The 21,644-nt window shown below is 50.4% G+C and overlaps 1 protein-coding gene and 1 pseudogene across 8 annotated transcripts, besides 4 other annotated features; both read right to left on the bottom strand.

The window, feature by feature from the left end:
• TOR1B (torsin family 1 member B) lies at window positions 307–8,404 on the bottom strand. Of its 8 annotated transcripts, none has more exons than NR_133948.2 (5): window positions 8,177–8,404; window positions 7,109–7,515; window positions 4,225–4,400; window positions 2,556–2,683; window positions 307–2,246 (listed from the first exon to the last, which is right to left on the bottom strand). NR_133948.2 is itself a non-coding variant. In NM_014506.3 (5 exons), the coding sequence occupies exons 1-5, from the start codon at window positions 8,373–8,375 to the stop codon at window positions 2,005–2,007; spliced, it is 1,011 nt and encodes a 336-aa protein (NP_055321.1). In that variant the 5' UTR covers window positions 8,376–8,404; the 3' UTR covers window positions 307–2,004. The 8 variants fall into 8 exon arrangements, 4 of the variants coding, with proteins under 4 accessions (NP_055321.1, XP_005251984.1, NP_001304822.1 ...); NR_134113.2 differs by having other exon boundaries at window positions 307–1,361; NM_014506.3 differs by having other exon boundaries at window positions 7,250–7,515.
• Window positions 8,015–8,134: a silencer, noted in NCBI's record as "silent region_20389". NCBI's record gives its function as "represses an Ori minimal core promoter by ATAC-STARR-seq in GM12878 lymphoblastoid cells {active_cell/tissue: GM12878}" and the evidence as "EXISTENCE:reporter gene assay evidence [ECO:0000049][PMID:35858748]".
• Window positions 8,195–8,324: a silencer, noted in NCBI's record as "silent region_20388". NCBI's record gives its function as "represses an Ori minimal core promoter by ATAC-STARR-seq in GM12878 lymphoblastoid cells {active_cell/tissue: GM12878}" and the evidence as "EXISTENCE:reporter gene assay evidence [ECO:0000049][PMID:35858748]".
• Window positions 19,751–20,392, bottom strand: UBE2V1P4 (UBE2V1 pseudogene 4; annotated as a pseudogene).
• Window positions 20,864–21,158: a silencer, noted in NCBI's record as "tiled region #3625; HepG2 Repressive DNase matched - State 12:CtcfO, and K562 Repressive DNase unmatched - State 5:Enh". NCBI's record gives its function as "represses a minimal TATA promoter and a strong SV40 promoter by Sharpr-MPRA in HepG2 and K562 cells {active_cell/tissue: HepG2 | K562}" and the evidence as "EXISTENCE:reporter gene assay evidence [ECO:0000049][PMID:27701403]".
• Window positions 21,149–21,338: an enhancer, noted in NCBI's record as "active region_29120". NCBI's record gives its function as "activates an Ori minimal core promoter by ATAC-STARR-seq in GM12878 lymphoblastoid cells {active_cell/tissue: GM12878}" and the evidence as "EXISTENCE:reporter gene assay evidence [ECO:0000049][PMID:35858748]".

Here is a 21,644-nt window from a genome sequence, read left to right as displayed (position 1 = left end):
AACTTCTATTTGTCTGGGGAAGAGCCTTTAAGGTAAATATTGCTTCTGTATCGCGCTGACTGCCCACCCGCCTGTCCCGGATATGGTGAGTCTCACAGCTGTGCTGCTGAAATTCATTCTGAACTTTGGAACCAAATAAACTAGAAAAAGTTAGCAAGTGGCATTTCACATGATAAAATCTAGAATTTACTATTTTATAGTCAGTAGGTCAATAAAGCTCTCGTCCACATCTTATAAGGGAGGTGGGGGAGGCGGGGTCATGATCAACCGTAGCCTTTTCAAGTTACAAATCAGTAACGGCAGTCCAAAGGTGGCAAACATATTTATTGCCTCACTGTAAATAGAGAAAATCTTGTCTTCTCTCGACCAGATGCCCAAAAGGTTATAAAAGAAGTATAACTTAGCTCCAATTTGAGGATATGTACTAAAAATTTTAAACGTCACCTTGGTGTTTTTTTCAAGACTAAGTGTGATACCACGTAAGGCATTTCCATGTCATAAATTAATTCTACCATATTTTTATGTAAAAAATGCTGCACGTTGTTGTGTCTGCAGCTGTGCTGTGATTATGAGACAGATACAATGATTCACACTGGCTGGAAGCTAAGTCTCACGTCCCAGGGATCAGGGCAGTCCAGCCCGGTGCTGCCACAAAGGGTGGTGGTATCAGGTCACACCTAGGACCTGCCACTTTAGACTGACCTTGTTTGATCCACGGTTGTGACCATGTATTACCACAAATTTAACAATAAAAAATTGTTTTAAGAGTATCTGAGAAAGGACTAAGCAGTCATTCCATTTTGTGTCCTTCCCTTGTTTTAAAATAAGCAACGTCCTATACTTCCATCATTTAAGATCATCAAGCTGACTTGTTCAGTCTGGGCCCATGTCATCCTTCCAGAACAAGCACATCCTAGGATTTCAAATGGTTCTACAAAATAAAGTGAGAGATTGACCCAAGTATAAAGTCTTAACAAGCATCTCACCATGGGAACCAACGACTCAAATTCAAAGCCAACGGTCTCATTGTGATTCAACTCTATGATATATGGTTGGGGGGACTCTAGCAGAGATCCAAGCTGAGATATGGCACAAGGCAGGCTGGGGCTGATACCAGCTGAGACGGTGAAGGATTCCACAGCCAGGGCTGTATTAGCAGCTAGAGCGATGGACAGGCGGGAGGGGCCTGTCTGTCCAGGTCTGCTGCAGAGGTCTTAGGTGAAGGCCCCACCCCCCCACACACACACACACAGGTCAGCTCAGATCAAGAGTGCTCGGCGGGCACGGCCACATCCTCCGGTCAGACACCGTCTGCACCTCCAGCCCCGATTTTAACTGAGTATACTTCAAGTCAGTGAACTCTGTGTAAAGAACGAGACAGAGCAAAAGGATGTTTTTGGCCAATGAGAACACAGTGCCCCGCAGCCTGCTGGTGAGAACCACCCAGTGCCCCCCAGCCTGCAGCAAGTCCCTGGACTCCTTTAGTTGTGACCGTAGCTTCTGAGGCGCGGGTGCTGTGGGTCAGAAGCTATTGCCGGGCCTGCCATGCACAGCTGTTTTCAGGTACTTCTGTCTCGGTCAGTACATTAAGTGTGAAGGGGATTTTTAAAAGTTCATCTCCAGCTGCAAAGAACAGCTGGACTGCTGCCATCTTGCTAAATGACAAATGCGCGCAATAGATTCACGTGTTTTCCACAATCAACTCTTAGATTCTATATCCCAGCTGGGCACAGTGGCTCATGCCTGTAATCCCAGCTACTCGGGAGGCTGAGGCATGAGAATCACTCAAACCGGGAGCGGAGGTTGCAGTGAGTTGAGGATTGCACCACTGCACTCCAGCTTGGATGACGGAGTGAGACCTCTTCTCAAAAAAAAGATTCTATACCCAAAAGTCTAAGGTGCAAACAGGCAAAACCCCAAAGCGGTCTTCAGGGTTCTTCTGAAAGGCAAGGCCTCTGGCGTGCGGAGCCTCCCAGCTGTCTCCTACCCCATCTGGATAGGAGCTCAGTGGAAATCCAGCCGCGACTGCACAGTCTTGCAGCCCTTGTCTGAGTAGATTTTCTCGTCTCTGGGGAAAAACGTCATTTCCTCTGCCACTCTTGTGACAATGTCTTCATCTATGGCAGAACCACGGGCCCTCATCTCGGCCCTCACACACATTTTCACATGTCTGTACTCCAAAGGCAGGAAGGGGATAAAGTAATCAATGAGGTTTTTGTCGATCAGTCCACTGTGCCACAGGCCACCTGCAGAACAAGACACAGCTGGGTTTCCTGCCACCACCGCCACCTGGCCAAGCTCCAGTCCCGACCCTCAGCACATTCCTCATGTCCGTACCCCTTGAGAGAGTCTCTTGTCAGTGTGCAACAAGCCCATGCAGGACTCAGCTGGACACTCACTCACTGGTTTCTAGCACAGTATGCCCTAAGAAAATTCCTGACTTTAGCAAAGTGAGGAAATCCAGTGGGATCCTGTGGCTTTGTGAAACACTCAATGAAAGAGCAGACGGCTCACTGCTGGACAGTTAAGGGGCTCCTTTACCCTGGTGGACTCACTGTGTTTATTATTGAAGACTCCGACAGACAGTACAGGTTCCAGGTCCTTCAGCTGAATGTCTTCCCTCTTTCTTCCGGCCCGCCAAAAGTCAAGAGCCGTCTTAGTTATAAGGTCCCCGCCTGCATTGCTGAGTTTGCCAGAGAAATAAAGATTAAAATCACATATTAAGACTTCTGTGTCTGCTGGGTGTGGTGGCTCATGCCTGTAATCCCAGCACTTTGGGAGGCCGAGGCAGGTAGATCACCTGAGGTCGGGAGTTCAAGGCCAGCCTGACCAACATAGAGTAACCCCATCTCTACTAAAAACACAAAAATTAGCCAGGCTAATGGTGGTGCATGCCTGTAATCCCAGCTACATGGGAGGCTGAGGTGGGAGAATCGTTTGAATCCGGGAGGTGGAGGTTGCAGCGAGCCGAGATCATGCCATTGCACTCCAGCCTGGGCAACAAAAATGAAACTCGGTCTCAAAAAAAAAAAAAAAAAAAAAAAGACTTCTGTGTCTTACCAAGAAATGAATCTGCTCTAAGTCTATTTTTCCTTTTGAGACACTCTGTCACGCAGGCTGGAGTGCAGTGGCGCAATATCAGCTCACTGCAACCTCCACCTTCCGGGTTCAAGTGATTCTTCTGCCTCAACCTCCTGAGTAGCTGGGATTACAGGCGCCTGCCACGACGCCCCTTCTAATTTTTGTATTTTTAGTAGACACGGGGTTTCACCATGTTGGCCAGCCTGGTCTTGAAATCCTGACCTCAAGTGATCTGCCCACCTTGGCCTCCCAAAGTGCTAGGATTACAGGTGTGAGCCACCACACCCGGCCGAAGATCTATTTTTCATCAAGGAATATTTACTGAGTGCTACTAGACAAAAAAGTGTGCTCTCATGGAACTTAAAGTGTTTATTCACAACTAGCTGGGATAATGCTATGGCCCTTTATAACCCTAAAAACCAACATGCACAGTTAATAAAATTAACTGTTTTCATTTCTGTTTCATTTTTAGGGTCGGGGTCTTGATTGTCACCCAGGCAGGAGTGCAGTGGTATGATCATAGCTCAATAAAACCTTGAACTCCTGGGCTCAACCAATCCTCCTGCCTCGACTTCCCCAGGAGCTGGGACTCCAGGCACATGCCACGATGCCCAGCTAAAATTGCCTGCTATCAGTGATTATTTCTTTTTTTTTTTTTTTTGAGACAGAGTCTCACTCTGTCACCCAGGCTGGAGTGCAGTGGTGTGATCCCGGCTCACTGCAAGCTCCGCCTCCCGGGTTCACGCCATTCTCTTGCCTCAGTCTCCCGAGTAGATGGGACTACAGGCGCCCGCCACCACGCCCGGCTAATTTTTGTATTTTTAGTAGAGACAGGGTTTCACCATGTTAGCCAGGATGGTCTCGATCTCCTGGTGATCCGCCCGCCATGGCCTCCCAAAGTGCTGGGATTACAGGTGTGAGCCACCGCGCCTGGCCCAGTGATTATTTCTTTAGTTCATTTCCACAACCCACACTGTGTGCCATGCTGAGACTGGCAAAGGAAAAGTAAAGCAGTAGGTAAGTGCCTTGTGCCAAGCAGGCACTTTCGTCCTGGTAAACAAAGTGCTGATGGTCCTCAGGACCTCATTTTATCATTGAGAGAATGAAGGGCTTGTGTGCCCCAAAAAACCGCCTCCCGCTGACCTGAGAAAGATGAAGATGGCTTTGCGGTAAGACACTCCGTCAACCTGCTCGTAGTAGTCTAGAAACGGCTTGATTGCGTCAATGATCCCGGGGTGCAATTTATCCATCTCGTCAAATATGAAAACAGAGTTCGCACATGCACTCACATTACCGCGGATCCACTTCTGTAACTGGTCCTGGACCAACCATGAAAGAAGAAACAGGATGCGAAGCTCAAAGGGTGCACCAAGAGGCGCGCAGGCTCCATCTGCTCCTCATGCACTGAAGGACGAGGTCAGAGCTCTTAGAATGGCACCCTCACCCCCACTCGCTAGGTAGCAGCTTTTCTAAAACCTTATCTCTAAAAAGTGGAAATTGGCAGAGATAGATGCTAAAATGCAGAGAAGTTTTTTCCTAACTCAAATGACTATTAAATCTGACTTTTTAAAGGTATAAGAGGTACAAGATCCGTGATTCTTTTCTTCTCTTTTTTGTCTTTGGAAACAGGGTCTCACTCTATCCCCCAGGCTGGTGTGTAGTGGCGTGATCTCAGCTCACTGCAACCTCTGCCTCTTGGGTTCAAGCGATTCCCCGGCCTCAGCCCCCCGTGTAGTTGGGACTACAGGCGCCCCGATCCCCTGCACCATGCCTGGCTAATTTTTGTATTTTTAGTAGAGACAGGGTTGTGCCATGTTGGCCAGGCTCGTCTCAAACTCCTGACCTCAGGTGATCCACCCACCTCACCCTCCCAAAGTGCTGAGATTACAGGAATGAGCCACCCGGCAAGATCCGTGAATATCATTCACTGCTAACGTAGCCATAGTTTTCATCTCTCTTGGACTACAATCTCAAGTTAGTACTATCAGACATACTGAGGAATAAGGAACTAGATCAAGACCTGCACAGTACACAGTGCCCCAGACCAACAGAGCTGACTCAATGACATTTCATGAAAAGCATCTGTTCCAGATGTTTTCTTCAAACAAACATAAAGACACTCAAGCAACAAGCCCTCAACCCCAAAGCGTGAAAGGCTATACCAGGAAACTCCCCCAGACATGCCCTCAACCATTTATATTACTCTGTTTCCGGAGATTTATGAAGAATGTAAAGAACAAGAAAATCCTTCCTTCCTTCCTTTTTAGCAGTCTTCCCTGTCTCACGTCAGTTTGTTGGGCAAACACTTCTACTTCCTTGTTCAGTTAAGTTTCTATTTCTTTCTTCAGTCCCCACCTAACAGGAGGAATTTTTTTTTTTTTTTTTTGAGATAGAGTCTTACTCTGTCGCCCAGACTGGAATGCAGTGACATGACCATGGTTCATTGTAGGCTCAGCCTCCCGGGCTCAAGCGATCCTCCCATCTCAGCCTCCCAAGTAGCTGGGACTACAGGTGCATGCCACTACACCTGGCTAATTTTTTTATTTTTTGTAGAGATGGAGTCTTGCTATGTTGCCAGTGGGAATGTTAACCTTGACAAGGACAACATTCATTTAAATGAGAACTAACCCTCCTAGACAACTTAATATAAAATGAATGTGGAAACAATATCTCAAAAGGAGAAACAGTCTCAAGGTTCAGTTCTTTGAGGCTTCCTTTGAAGAAAGCAATGCCAAGGACATGAAGGATGGGAGGAACAAAGGGAATAAAACCTGTTAAGGAGAAAAAAGACCTCTAGGCTACATTGCAAAGAGCAGAGGCAAAGCTGAGGCTGCACCAGAGGTGGGCAGCATTGAATGAAGCCACACCGGAGCAAATCCTTGAAGACTGACTGCCCCTTCTCACCAACTGCACTGCTGGGGATGTGGAATCCCTTCACTCACCAGAGAAGGTGGCTACCATGTCAACTGGGAGTTGGGAGGTTTTGGTTCTGCTACAAAGGTCCTGTTCTGCTACAAAGATTGTAGGAGTAAGTCACCTTGCCTCTGGGCTCCAGGCTCCATCTTTTTTTTTTTTCTTTTTTTTTGAGACAGAGTCTCATTCTGTTGCCCAGGCTGGGGTGCAGTGGCCCATTCTCAGCTGACTGCAACCTCAGCCTCCCAAGTAGCTTGAATTACAGGCGCACGCCATCACGCCCGGCTAATTTTGTATTTTCAGTAGAGACGGGGTTTCTCCATGTTGGTCAGGCTGGTCTCGAACTCCCGACCTCAGGTGATCCGCCCGCCTTGGCGGATCCCAAAGTGCTGGGATTACAGGCGTGAGCCACTGCACCTGGCCCTGACTACATCTCTCTTTTTTTTTTTTTTTTCTGAGACAGAGTCTCACTGTGTCGCCCAGGCTGGAGTGCAGTGGCGCGATCTCGGCTCAGTGCAAGCTCCGCCTCCCGGGTTCAGGCCATTCTCCTGCCTCAGCCTCCCGAGTAGCTGGGACAACAGGTGCCCGCCACCATCCCCGGCTAATTTTTTGTATTTTTAGTAGAGACGGGGTCTCACCGTGTTAGCCAGGATGGTCTCCATCTCCTGACCTCGTGATCCGCCCCCCTCGGCCTCCGAAAGTGCTGGGATTACAGGCGTGAGCCACTGTGCCAGGCCTTTTTTTTTTTTTTTTTTTTGAGACCGAGTACGGTGGCGCGATCTCAGCTCACTGCAACCTCTGCCACCCAGGTTCAAGCGATTCTCCTGCCTCAGCCTCCCAAGTAGCTGGGATTACAGGTGCGTGCCACCGTGCTCAGGTAATTTTGGTACTTTTAGGTAGAGATGGGGTTTCACCATGTTGGCCAGGCTGGTCTCAAACTCCTGGCCTCAAATGATCCGCCCGCCTCGGCTTCCCCAAAATGCTGGGATTACAGGCGTGAGCCACGGCGCCAGGCCCTTGGCTCCCCATCTTTTAATGGAAATAACATCCCCTACCCCACTGGACTGTTTTGGAACCAAGTAAGAGAAATGTTGTAGGAGAGCTTTGTAACTACCTGGACTAAGTGTGCCTTAACTCAGTGGAGCCGGGGGCTACAGCAACACAAAGGAAAGAGAAGCAGAGGCCAGAGTTAGTGAGCAGGTCACCCGGACCAGTCCGACTGGCCTGCAGACGAGATAATAGCGGGTTCTCTTGCCTGGTACAGTTTTATCTTCTGCTCATGAGGGAAGTGCAGAGTCGATACAAACAGGTGGACAAAGTTACTCTTCAGACCTTTTGGGTGAAGATTTTCAGCCACAATTTGACTGACAAAATTCTTGCCTGTGCCAGCCCAGCCGTGTAAGGAAAGGGTCAGTGGTTTCTTGGGATTTTTGTTGTTCCTGAAGCCAGTCAGCGCCTTGAAAATCACTTCCGTGGCTAGATGCTGTCCAAACAGCTTCTCCTCCAAATCCAGCTTGAGAGCTGCAAGAACAGCCCCAGAACAAAGAGAGAAACAGACCTTAAAAATGCATCAGCAACGCAGCACTTTCTTAGCTGGCCAAAGCAAGAAGCACAGATTATCCAGGGACACAGCAGGGTGTCTGCCACACCCTAGGGCCGAGGCAGTCAAACGATGCCACTTTCAAGATTATGTGGAGGTCCTTAACGCTTCGGGGTCTGATAAGGAAGCTAAATGTTCATTCATTCAGAGATGAACCATCGCTTGACTGAGCGCTTGCTAATCCCAGCCACCCTTGCTGACCTGCAGGAAAACCAGGGGCCAAATGTGGGCTTTCTGGGCGACGCAGCACGTCTGAAAACTACTTAATAGGGTTGGCAGGGCGCAGAAGGGCCGCCCGCCTACTTTCCGTTTCTTCCACCTGTGATCCCAAGGAACGGGAGCTTTAGAAAGGCGCTGGGGCAGCCCCACGATCTGGAGACTGTTTGCGAAGGCACCGCTTCTGCGTTCCCGCGAACGGTTCCGGGGCCGCCCCATCCGCTCCCCGCCCACCCCAGCTGGGACCACCGCCGTCTAGATGCCACGGGCCCGGTCCGTGCCAGGCGCCCACGAGGCCGTCCCTCCGCGCCCCCGCGCCCCCGCGCCCCCCGCAGCGCCGACCCACAGCTCGCGCGCGCGCCGTACCCGAAGCGTTGAGCGGCCGCTCCTCGCGGCAGCACTCGGCGAAGCGGCAGTAGATGTCATTGTAGGACAGGTAGCCGGTGATGGCCGACGCGGCCCCGATGGCTAGGCCCACGGTGATGGGCTCGAACGCCGCCACCACTCGGGCCGCCAGCAGCAGCGCCAGCGCCGCCGCGCCCCGGAGCCACCCAGCCCGCAACATCCCGCTCCTCGAAGCCCGCAGAAGCCACTGAGCCAGGCGCCCCGCGGCCAAGCGGCAGGACGGACTTCCTCTCGTGCGTCACTTCCGCCCCGCAGACCCGCCCACTCCCTTGGGGGCGGCCATGTTGGTGAGGGGCGGAGAGGAGGGCGGTGCCATCGTTCTTGGGAGTGGTCCGAAGGTGTAGGAGACTGTTTTGTTTCCCTTTTCTTTTAAAAAAATTTTTTCGGGCCGGGCGCGGTGGCTCACGCCTGTAATCCCAGGACTTTGGGAGGCCGAGCCGAGATCACGCCATTGCACTCCAGCCTGGGCAACAAGAGTGAAAAAATATCTAAAAAAAAAAAAAAAAATTTTTTTTTTTTGGCCGGGCGCCGTGGCTCACGCCTGTAATCCCAGCACTTTGGGAAGCTGAAGCGGGCGGATCACCTGATGTCAGGAGTTCGAGACCAGCCTGCTCAACGTGGCGAAACCCCGTCTCTACTAAAAATACAAAAAATTAGATGGGTGTGGTGGCGGGCGCCTGTAATCCCAGCTACTCGGGAGGTTGAGGCAGGAGAATCTCTTGAACCCAGGAGGCGGAGGTTGCAGTTAGCCGAGATCGTGCCACTGCACTCCAGCCTGGGCGACAAGAGCGAAACTGTCTCAAAAAAAAAAAAAAAGGCTGGCCGGGCGCGGCGGCTCACGCCTGTAATCCCAGCACTTTGGGAGGCCGAGGCAGGCGGATCACGAGGTCAGGAGATCAAGACCATCCTGGCTAACACAGTGAAATCCCATCACTACGAAAAATAGAAAAAATCAGCCGGGCATGGTGGCGGGCGCCTGTAGTCCCAGCTACTCGGGAGGCTGAGGCAGGAGAATGGCGTGAACCTGGGAGGCGGAGCTTGCAGTGAGCCGAGATCGTGCCACTGCACTCCAGCCTGGACGACAGAGCGAGACTCCGTCTCAAAAAAAACAAAAAAAAGCCAAAAAAAATTTTTTTAAACTTTCTTATATTTTTTTCTTATCTGATATGTATATTGGGGACAGGGTCTGGCTCTGTCGCCCCGGCTGGAGCGCAGTGGCAGGATCTCGGCTCGCTGCAAACTCTTCCTCCCAGGTTCAAGCGATTCTCCCATCTCAGCTGCTGGAGTAGCTGGGATTATAGGTGCCCGCCAACACGCCCAGCCAACTTTTGTGTTTTTAGTAGAGACGGGGTTTCGCCATGTGGCCCAAGCTGGTCTCGAACTCCTGACCTCAAGCGATCTACCTGCCTCCGTCTTCCAAAGCCTGGGGTTACAGGAGTGGGCTTATGGCTGGATTTGTTTTCTTCAGAGCTTCTCGGAGCCCTCAAGCTTTGCTTTGTTATCCCTCCCTTCACTTCGCCGGAGGTATAATGTGCGTTTCTTGGGTCGGCCCACCCGCCTGCCTTCTTCCTGAAACAGTTGCGAACTCTCCGTGCTGCGCCCTAGACTGAGCACTGGGGATGCAGCGGCCCCAAGACAGACCTGCCCAGGCTTCCACACTGAAATCCCGAGGTCCATTCTTTCATTCAGCACGCTAGGTGGCAGGCCCCTTGCTGGATGCCAGGAACGACAGCAGAGGAGGGGACGGAGTTGGCCCCTGCCCTCTCAGAGCTGACGGTCTATGGGGGAGGCCGACAAAGGGGTGAGACTCAATGCTGAGTGGGCAGAGAAGTATCGGACAGTGGTACAGGGAAGGCTTTTGTCTAAGCTGGGCACTGAGGGAGTTAGGCCAGGCAAAAAATGAGTAGAGTGTTTTAGGCAGAAAACAACAGTCAGTTTGGAGAACTGAAAGGATTCCACATGGCGGAAGGTGGTGAGAGATAGGGATGAAGAATCAGGCAGAGACTGGAAGGTGAAGTCCTTGCGAATGTTGTAAGGAGTTTGGCCTCTGTTCTGGGGGGTAATAGGGAGCCACAGAGGGTTTTACACAGGAAGCAACATGGTCAGATCAGAGATCATTCTGGCTGCTGGGTTCACAAGAAATGGAAGGCAGAGAGCCAGTGAAGAGGCTGTTGCCGTGGTCCAGGTAACTAGTCAGGGAGACAGATGAGCAAGCAGGCAGCTTATGTCCAGGGTGGGCCAAGGCTGTAATGCAGGATGCACAGAGGCCTGTGGGTGGGGAGGGATCTTCTCCTCCCTATCTCAGTTGCGATCTAAAGAATGAATGGAAGGGCCAGGTGCACTGGCTCATGCCTGTAATCCCAGGACTTTGGGAGGCCGAGGCAGGCAGGTCACCTGAGGTCAGGAGTTCGAGACCAGCCTGGCCAACATGGTGAAATCCCGTCTCTACAAAAAATACAAAAATTAGCCAGGTGTGGTGGTGCGCGCCTGTAATCCCAGGTACTCGGGAGGCTGAGACAGGAAAATGGCTTGAACCCAGGAGGCAGAGGTTGCAGTGAGCCAAGATTGCGCCACTGCATTCCAGCCTGGGCGACAGAGCAAGACTCCGTCTCAAAAAAAAGAAGAAAAAAAAAAAGAATAGAAGTTGGCCGTGGGAAGTGGCTTAAACTTTTTTTTTTTTTGAGACAGCAGCTCACTCTGTTGCCCAGGCTGGAGTGCAGAGTGCAGTGGCATGATCTCAGCTCACTGCAGCCTCTGCCTCTTAGGTTCAAGCAATTCTCCTGCCTCAGCCTCCGAGTAGCTGGGATTACACGTGTGCATCACGATGCCCAGCTATTTTTTTTTTTTTTTTTTTTTTGAGATGGAGTCTCGCTTTGTCACCCAGGCTGGAGTGCAGTGGCATGATCTCCGCTCACTGCAACCTCTGCCTCCTGGGTTCAAGCCATTCTCCTGCCTCAGCCTCCCCAGTAGCTGGGATTACAGGTGTGCACTACCATGCCCATCTGTTTTTAGTAGAGACGGGGTTTCACCATGTTGGCCAGGCTGGTCTCGAACTCTTGACCTCGTGATCTGCCCACCTCGGCCTCCCAAAGTGCTGGGATTACAGGTGTAGCCACCGCGCTCGGCCTACTTTTTGTAGTTTTAGTAGAGATTTAGTAGAGATGCAGTTTCACCGTGTTGGCCAGGCTGGTCTGGAACTCCTGACCTCAAGTGATCCGCCTGCCTCGGCCTCCCAAAGTGCTGGGATTACAGATGTGAACCACCACTCTTAGCCCACAAACTTTTTATAAGTAATTAAATAACTAAAAGTGTATGGAAAATGTATCTCTTAATAGGATGGTTGGGGTTCTCTTTTTTTTTTCCATTTACTTCATATATCCATAGGAAGAAATTACTAAGTGACTTTTCCCCTTTCCAAGTAGCCAGAGTCCAATGGGAAAGGGGAAATGAGAAGGAGCATGGGGCCGCTGGGGCCACCGGTGCCATACCCAGGGAGGAAAGAAGAAAGAGGTTGAGTTTCTGGAATTAGGATCCTTAGAGTGATCCACTCTTATGCACCCTTAGGAAGTCTTCACCTACCTCAGAGGGTCACATACCCCAGGCTGAAGAGGCCTGGCCTAAGGCAGGAAAGTCCCACCACAAGGAATGTCACCACCACTGCCCGAAAGAGTCAGGCTGTCCCGGCATCTCTCCAAGGGCCGTCTAACAAGCAGCCTGGCACCCAGGGCCATGCTGTCTGTCTAATTGAAATGCTTCTCCAGCTGACCCTGAGGACCAAGAGGCTGCCTTGGACAAGTCCGGTGTGTTCATCAGGGCGCAGCCACGTGGGACAAAGGGGCAGCTCTGCTGTCTCCAGAGGCTTTGCAGCATCAGGAGTTGGGAGGGAGAAGAGGAGGTTGGGATTATAAATCACAACCTGGTTTGTTCCCTTTCTTCCTAGCTGAGTGGCTCTGGAAATGTGATGCCACCTTTCTGGGACTCAGTTTCCCTAACTGTAAAGTGGGGATCACAACAGTCCCTTCTTGGAGTTGCTGGGGTACCAGTGAGCTGATGCACGTGGAGCACTTAGCACCGCATAGAGTAAGAGTTCAACAGGAACCATTTGCTGGGACTATCACCTCCTTTGACCCTCTCAACCATCCTGTGAAGTTCACAAGTCAGGAGAGACAGTTTAGCTCACAAAGGAAATGTTTGTTGTCTTTAAGGATTATACCGGGGTGCTGGCAGGATTTGATGAGTGGTGTTTAGATAGATCTGGAATTACAAAACTCAGTAACTGATATTCATCAAGCAAAATACACACGATGTCCTGCAAGACACAAGTGGATTGGTGCCATGGTTAGTCTCCATTGTGGTGGTCGTAAGAGGTGGAGCCTTTTTCGAGGTGATTAGGCCAAGAGGGCTCTACCCTCATTAATGGAATTCATACCCTTATAAAAAGGGCTTGAGGATGGGCGCAGTGGCTCACGCCTGTAATCCCAGCACTTTGGGAGACCGAGGCGGGCGGATCACAAGGTCAGGAGATCGAGACCATCCTAGCTAACACGGTGAAACCCCATCTCTACTAAAAATACAAAAAATTAGTCGGGCATGGTGGCATGTGCCTGTAATCCCAGCTACTCGGGAGGCTGAGGGAGGAGAATCGCTTGAACCCGGGAGGCGGAGGTTGCAGTTAACTCAGATCATGCCACTACACTCCAGCCTGAGCGACAGAGTGAGACTCCATCTCAAAAAAAAAAAAAAAAAAGGCTTGAGGGGCTGGGCACAGTCACTCACGCCAATCATCCCAGCATTTGGGGAGGCAGGTGGATCATTTAAGGCCAGGAGTTCAAGACCAGCCTGGCTAACATGGTGAAACCCTGTCTACTAAAAAATACAAAAAATAGCCAGGTGTGGTATCGGGTGCCTGTAATCCCAACTACTCGGGGGGCTAAGGCAAGAGAATCACTTGAGCCTAAGAGGTAGAGGTTGCAGTGAGCCGAGATCGTGCCACTGCACTCCAGCCTGGGCAACAGAGCAAGACTGTCTCAAAAAAAGGGCTTGAGGGAACTAGCTCGACCCTTCCACTTCTGCCTCGTGAGGACACAGCAAGAAGGCACCATTTTGGAAGCAGAAGGCAACCTTCACCAGGCACCAAATCTGCTGGCATCTTGATCTTGGTCTCCCCAGCCTCCAGAACTGTGAGAAATAAATTTCTTTTTAATTGTTTTTTCTTTTTAAAAAAATTTTGGCCAGGCGTGGTGGCTCATGCCTGTAATCCTAGCACTTTGGAAGGCCTCGGCAGGCGGATCACTTGAGATCAGGAGTCTGAGACCAGCCTGGCCAACATGGCAAAATCCCGTCTCTACTAAAAATACAAAAATTAGCCAGGCATAGGGGTGCACACCTGTAATCCCAGCTACTCAGGAGGCTGACGCAGGAGAATCCCTTGAACCCGGGAGGCGGAAGTTGCAGTGAGCCCAGATCGTGCCACTGCACTCCAGCCTGGGCCACAGTGTGAGACTCCTTCTCAAAAAAAAAAAAAAGTTTGTAACCTATTTATGTTATTTTGAGCAATTGTATACTAAAAATAATCCAAAAGAAATATTTAATACCTAGGGTTTTGTGGTCACCAGAAAAAAAAAAAAAAACTATATTAGGTTTTATAGTTTTAGGCCGCACCGGGCCTATGTTAAGTTTTCATTTGTAGTATATACATATTTTTGTTGCAGAGAAATAAGATAGCATGATCAATAAGACTGTTAGGCAAAAAAAAAAAAAAGGGGAAGAAAAAAATTTCATTAACATGACATTTGATGAGAGAGTGGAATGGAAATACGGGTTCTAGTACAAAAAAGATCATAAGTGTCTGACTTGTTCATGTGTTTGATACATGGATGGGAGGTTACATTGCTGTGGCATCTAGATTCCACCGAGTAATTAGACAAGCAATGCAACAGTGTTATCTTTTTTTTTTTTTTTTTTTTTTTGAGATGGAGTCTCGCTCTGTCACCCAGGCTGGAGTGCAGTGGCGAGGTCTCGGCTCACTGCAAGCTCCGCCTCCCGGGTTCACGCCATTCTCCTGCCTCAGCCTCCCAAGTAGCTGGGACTACAGGCGCCCGCCACCACACCCAGCTAATTTTTTTTTTTTTTTTTTGGATTTTTAGTAGAGACGGGGTTTCACCGTGTTAGCCAGGATGGTCTCGATCTCCTGACCTCGTGATCCGCCCGCCTCGGCCTCCCAAAGTGCTGGGATTACAGGTGTGAGCCACCGCGCCCGGCCCTACAGTGTTATCTTAAAGTGCAAAAATTATGTCTTTTGTGACCATTTAAACTCACAATGGGCAGGGCGAGGTGACTCACGCCTGTAATCCCAGCACTTTGGGAGGCCGAGGGGGACAGATCACCTGAGGTCAGGAATTCCAGACCAGCCTGGCCAGCATGGTGAAACCCCATCTCCACTAAAAATACAAAAATTAGCCAGACATGGTGGCATGTGCACCTGTAATCCCAGCTACTCGGGAGGCTGAGACAGGAGAATCTCTTGAATCTGGCAGGTGGAGGTTGCAGTGAGCCAAGATTGCGTCACTGCACTCCAGCCTGGGCAACAGGGTGAGACTCCATCTCAATAAATAAATAAATAAACTCACAATGAAAATTTTCAATGTTAATCTGATGTGTGAGCAAAAATGTGTGACAACCTCTGCCCAAATCATGCTCTGCCTGGCAGCCCCTTCCCCCTCCATCCTCCCGTCCGCGTCATGCTTTTTCTTGCAGGTGCTAGAAACCCCCTTCTGAATCAGCAGCTGCCAGGGAGGGACTTTGGAACTGATCTGGAGCCTGCATCCTGGCTAAATGGTATCCTCCCTCCCTGCCACCAGCCTCCTAGGTTGCTGCTGCTTCCCCGTCTCCCCACTTAAAATCCTGAGAGGCTCCTAGGCTCAGTTCCAGATCTTCTTTCTCTCCCCTCTCTCCCTGGGTGAGAGGCCCCCAACTTTCTCCAGGACCCATACCTGGCCACACCCAGGACACCTCTGGCTATTCCCTAGACAGCCCAGTAGCTGCACAGTTGAAATGGGAGCCTTGGTCACTTTCCCCAAACATGTCCCTCCCAGGAACACTTGAGCTCAGGAGTTTGAGACCAGCCTGGGCAACATAGCGAGACCCCATCTCTACAAAAAATACAAAAATTAGTCAGGCATGGTAGCTTGCACCTGTGGTCCCAGCTACTCAGGAGGCTGAGGTGGGAGGATCACCTGAGCCCAGGAGTTTGCAGTGAGCTGTGATTGTGCTGCTGCACTCCAGCCTGGGCAACAGAGTGAGACTCTGTCTCAAAAAAAAAAAAGTCCTTCCCACCGGGGTGTCTGTCACGGTAAGTGCAAACATCTTCACCCCATCCTCTCTGAGTCATTCTCCCTACAACAGGGACAGGTGGTCTTTTTACAAGGAACTGGGTCCTGCTATTCTTGCTTGGTACCTGTCGATGGCTTCCCAAAACCCTTGGGAAGAAAGGTGCCCTCCTTCCTCTGACCTCCCAGCCCCAGTGATGTGCACACTTTCCTCTCAGAGAGCCTTTCTCATCCCATAGCCTCCCTCGTTCTCATCCCACAGCCTCCCTCGTTCTCATCCCACAGGCTCCCTCGTTCTCAGGCCCCCCGCCCCTTCTCTCTCCTGCCTCGGAGTTTTCACATATAACGTGTTCTCAGCCTGGACTCTTGCCTCCAAGCCCCACACAGCTAACAGCTTCTAACCCTCAGCTCCAAGCCCACCTCCCCCGTCGACAGTAGACTTACTCCTACCCCCCAGGCACCTGCTCTCTCTCCTATCACCCCATCTGAGTCCTTGTTTATTGCCCTCCTCTCCCACTGCCACGAGAGCTTCAGGAGGGCAGGGACCTTGTCTTTTGTCCTCTGTGTCTCTAATTCCCAGAACTCTGACCAGGACACAGTAGGTGCTCCATAAATATGTGCTTGGTGTTCAAGGATAGAACACTCTCCAAGAGGACAGACTGATCTGCGGGCCAGGGATGCCTAAGGCCCTGCAGAGTAAGGGCCTGTCCCCACCATGAAGGACTGACCACACAAGGGCCAGGACATCCCCTTTGGGGACCCTCTGGGCATCTCTAATCCACCACAGGTCTCAGGAAACCTCTTCCCTGCTCCTCTCCTTCCCCTTGGAAATGAAAGGAGTTTACCTTAATTGAGCATCTAAGATTGAGCCAGGTGTCTTCATGACACCTTGTGAAACAAATGTTTCATTTGCAGGTGAGGGAACTACTGGGAGAAGCTAAGACAAGCCCCAGGCCAGGTGACTGCTCCAGGCCCAGCCTCTTCCCCTGACCTGCCACCTTCCCCAGGTGTCCTCCTGCTCCTCCCCATCCCATCCCTGCCTGTCCTGTTTCTCATACTCTAATGGGACTCGTTTCCCTGTTTGCTTGAATGTACGGTAACCTCGAAGGCAGGATTTGTTCTGTTCACCTGTAGTGCTTAGTGCGGTACTATGTCCAAGGCGTATGTCAAATATTTGTGAAAAACACACTCCCTTTCTGTCGGACAAAGAATTTTCCAAAATGCTGCCTCCGGAAGCAGACCCGCCTGAGTTTACATTCTGGCTGTCATGTTTCCTGTGTGACCCAGGGCAAGTCACCCACCTTCTCTGAGCCTCAGGCTTCTCATCCCTTCCAGTGCAGCGGGTTTAGTGCGGCTCCTATGTCATCATAAGCAAGTGCTGGGGGCCCTATGGCAGTGAACTCAATTTCTTTTGTGATCTCAGCTAAGTCCTTCTAGGTACTTTGCTTCAAAAACTCAAAAGCTAGCACCCCCAGGGGGGCTATTCTGCAGAGGTTAGGGAGGCTGCCTCCAAGCAGGCTCAATCTGATGGGCTTGGGGGACCTTTTCTCGGGCGGCAACTCTAGCCCCGTTACATGTCAGGAGTCGTGCCTTGGACATCTCTGCCTCTAGGGACCCCTCAGCAGTTCCACCACCCCAGGTACAGGAAAGCACAGTGGGGGTTTTCCATCCATGTTTCCTGCCCACCTCACATGTTTGGTGTCTTTTTTCTTTTTTTTGACATGGAGTTTTGTTCTTGTTGCCCAGGCTGGAGTGCAATGGCATGATCTTGGCTCATTGCAACCTCCGCCTCCTGGGTTCAAGCGATTCTTCTGCCTCAGCCTCCCGAGTAGCTGGGATTATAGGTACCCGCTGCCACACCCAGCTGATTTTTGTTTAGTAGAGATGGGGTTTCACCATGTTGGTCAGGCTGGTTTCAAACTCCTGAGCTCAGGTGATCCACCCGCCTCGGCCTCCCAACATGCTGGGATTACAGGCATGAGCCACTGCGCCTGGCTGTATAGTGAATTGTTTTTTTTTTTTTTGAGATGGAGTTTCACTCTTGTTGCCCAAGCTAGAGTGCAATGGCGCGATCTCGGCTCACAGCAACCTCCGCCTCCTGGATTCAAGCCATTCTCCTGCCTCAGCCTCCGGAGTAGCTGGTATTACAGGCATGCGCCATCCCCCCGGCTAATTTTGTATTTTTAGTAGAGATGGGGTTTCTCCATGTTGGTCAGGCTAGTCTCGAACTCCAGACCTCAGGTGGTCCGCCTGCCTCGGCCTCCCAAAGTGCTGGGATTACAGGCGTCAGCCACCGCGCCCGGCCTATATAGTGAAATTTTAAAGTGTATCAAAAGTTTCTATGATCATCATACTAGGTAGAATCAGCCATCACAAGAAGACAAACACTGTAAGATTCCACTTCTATGAGGTCCTTAGAGAAGTCAAAATCATACAGACAGAAAGTAGAAAGGTGGTTTCCAGAGGCTGGGGAAGGGGGGCTGTGGAGTTAGTGTTTAATGGAGACAAGAGCTTCAGTTTGGGAAGAGGAAAAGTTCTGGAGATGATTGGATGTCCAACAGGTGCATATGCTTAATGCCACTGAGTTGTACCCTGAAAAATGGTGAAGATGGTAAACTTTATATGATGTGTTTTTTAGCACAATTAAAATTCAAAAAAAATTTTTTTAAGTTCCTATGACCATGAGCCTCTGAATGTTAAAATTCCGAATTGAGTCAGCATTCCATTGATTACAGCTTGCCAAAATAGCACTGATATGTTTGTTTGTTTGTTTGTTTAGAGATAGGGTCTCACCCTGTCACCCAGGCTAGAGTGCAGTGGTGTGATCACCGCTCACTGCAGCTTCAACCTCTGAGGCAAAAGTGATCCTCCCACCTCAGCCTCCTGAGTAGCTTGGACTACAGGCGTGTGCCACTGTGCCCAGCTAATTTTTTATTTTTTGTAGAGATGGGTTCTCATTGTGTTGCCCAGGCTGGTCTCAAACTCCTGGGCTCAAGCAATCCTCCCGCCTCGGCCTCTAAGCGTTGGGATTACAGCCGTGAGCCACCATGCCCAGCAAAGGTATCTTTCAATAGATTTCAGGGTCCCACTTTCATGAAGAGCCACTGCTCTGCCCTGGTGCTGGTGGTGGTGGGATCTTGGCCTCTGTCACCCCTCCATTGATTGGCCTGAGGCAGTGACTTCCCAGGGTGCTGGAGCTGACCTCTTGGAGGTAGGTGGTCCTCAGGGAGGTCCAGGTGAAATTGGCTTAGCTGCTTTGTCACTGTGGGCACTGGTACTCCCCTCTCCTGGAAGATGGATGGTGGGAAGGGGGGTGCCTCTCTGCATTTTTCCCCATGTGGGCTCAGTAATCGCTTCCCAGTCCCCACAATTCGCTAAGCACCTGCTGCCCATCTCCCACTCTCTTAAGTAGCCAATTGCTCCATCAGTTGAAGTTCTTTGTTTCCAAACAACAGACGCTGACCGTGATTTGGGCTTTTTTAGGGTTTGTTAGAGGAGGTCAGGGTGACTCACAAAAATGTGAGAAATGACTGACCACATCTCAGGAAGAGCAGGGTCCCCGGGGTGTTGTCTAGGACTCAGGGGCAGGAGTTGGGGGACCTTTTGCTGGGACATTGCCCACAGGTGGATCAGGCTTGGCCACTTCCCATACCTGCATGCTTGGGTCCAACTTTGAGTTTGCAGAGAGAGGACCTGATTGGCCCAACCTGGGCTGGTTGACCTTGGATCAATGAGCCATGGGCTGGGGGTCGTTGTGCCTGGGTCTCCCCACCCCCAGTTAGTGCTACTGTAAATACTTGGATAACATTTTGTTCCCTTAAAAGTGTGGGTATTGGCCAGGCACGGTGGCTGATGCCTATAATCCCAGCACTTTGGGAGGCCGAGGCAGGCAGATCACCTGAGGTCAGGAGTTCAGGACCAGCCTGGCCAACATGATGAAACCCCATCTCTACTGAAAATACAAAAATTAGCCAGGTGTGGTGGCAGGTGACTGTAGTCCCAGCTACTCAAGAGGCTGAGGCAGGAGAATGGCGTGAACCCCAGGAGGTGGAGGTTGCAGTGACCCGAGATCGCACCACTGCACTCCAGTCTGGGCAACAGAGGGAGGCTCCATCTTAAAAAAAAAAACAAAACAAAACAACAACAACCAAAAAGAAAATTTACTGCTGTGAACAATGAAGACTGCTTAAGTCAAAAAGGCAAGAAGGACCTGTAGCTCTTCTTTTGGATTAGTTGCCATAACACTGTCCTTCAGGCAGCTGAGGGACTTTCACATTTTCTCTAGATGTCATTAGGTGCCAGAGCTCTTGCAGGACCACGTTGAAGCTTTATACAATAAATGCTGCCATTTTGTCAGCACCAATATGGCTCTTGGGTCCACTGCTCCATTCAAATTATTAACTCCGTTCACATTAATTCTTTTTTTTGAGACAGAGTCTTGCTCTGTTGTCCAGGCTGGAGTGCAGTGGTGCAATCTTGGCTCACTGCAACCTCTGCCTCCTGAGTTCAAGCGATTCTCATGTTTTAGCCTTCCGAGTAGCTGGGATTACAGGCGCCCGCCATCATGCCCAGCTAATTTTTAGTAGAGACGGGGTTTCACCATGTTGCCCAGGCTGGTCTTGAACTCCTGGCTTCAAGTGATCCACCCACCTCGGCCTCCCAAAGTGCTGGGATTGCAGATGTGAGCCATTGTGCCTGGTCTCATATTAATCTTTTTGTTACAAATCTTACCACGGGGGTGATTCCAGGTATTTAGGCCCACATTCTATTTTAAGACTGTATATTTGGTTTTCATAAATTGTCCGAGTCTGTGCTGGCTGTCGTCCTGTGTTGCTAGAAGGCCAGCATATTACTCATCTCACACTCGTTCCCATTCTCCTTACTCTTTCTTTCTTTCTTTCTTTTTTCTCTTTTTTTTTTCTTTAGATGGAGTCTCGCTCTCTCGCCAGGCTGGGGTGCAGTGGTGTGATCTCAGCTCACTGCAACCTCCACCTCCCGAATTCAAGCGATACTCCTGCCTCGGCCTCCCAAGTAGCTGGGATTACAGGCATGCGCCACCATGCCCGGCTAATTTATTTTTGTATTTTTAGTAGAGACGGGATTTCACCATGTTGGCCAGGATGGTCTCAATCTCTTGACCTTGTGATCCGCCCGCCTCGGCCTCCCAAAGTGCTGGGATTACAGGCATGAACCACTGCGCCTGGCCACTCTCCTTACTCTTTCTATCATTGCTGTCCAGAAGCATTGCCTATGACATTTAAATTGTCAATCCAAAACATTCAAAACTACCAGCTTACTCGTCGAGGCCATCATAAATGGAAAGAAGGCCTGGGAAAGGTGTGGAAGGGTGATTCAGCTGCAGAGAGGGCTCTGGACTTAGGTTTCGCAGCTGACTGTGACTTTCAGGACCAGAGACAGCGCCCCGGATCCACACCCATTTCCCACCCAGCGTCAGACTTGAGGATTTTAAAGAGAGGTGTCCTTGTGCTGATAGACGGGAAACTGCCCACAGCTGGGAGACTTCATGTGCTCACACCAAGAAGGCACTAGAGGGTGCTGGTGAGCTGCAGGTTTGAGGACCTGCAGCTGGGCTTATCTGCAACCTCCAGATGGGCTAAAAACAACAACAACTTAACAGAAAAAGTTCAAAAGTCTAGATTATTTAACATGTCAACAGTTCCACTGGGCGCTGTGGCTCACACCTGTAATCCCAATACGTTGGGGGGCCAGGGTGGGTGGATTGCTCGAGTCCAGGAGTTTGAGACCAGCCTGGGCAACATGGCGAAACCCCGTCTCTACTATAAACTACAAAATTTAGCCGGATGTGGTGGCGAGTTCCTGTAGTCCCAACTACCCGGGAGGCTGAGGTGGGAGGATTGCTTCAGCCTGGAGGTCAAGGCTGCAGTGAGCCGTGATCACGCCACTGCACTCCAGCCTGAAGGCAGAGCCAGACCCTGTCTCAAAAAAAAAAGTCAAAAGTTTACATTAAATTCTGTTCTCATCCAAATGTTAGTGCCTCTATCTTTCAGGGGGCCTTCCAAGGGGTACATGATATTTGGCATTCTCCTTTTCTTGTTTGGTATTTTGTGTATCAATATTAC

Source organism: Homo sapiens, chromosome 9 (genome assembly GCF_000001405.40).
Source record: "Homo sapiens chromosome 9, GRCh38.p14 Primary Assembly".
In the NCBI taxonomy this organism is placed as follows: domain Eukaryota; kingdom Metazoa; phylum Chordata; class Mammalia; order Primates; family Hominidae; genus Homo; species Homo sapiens.
This window is presented reverse-complemented; position numbering and strand designations above follow the sequence as displayed.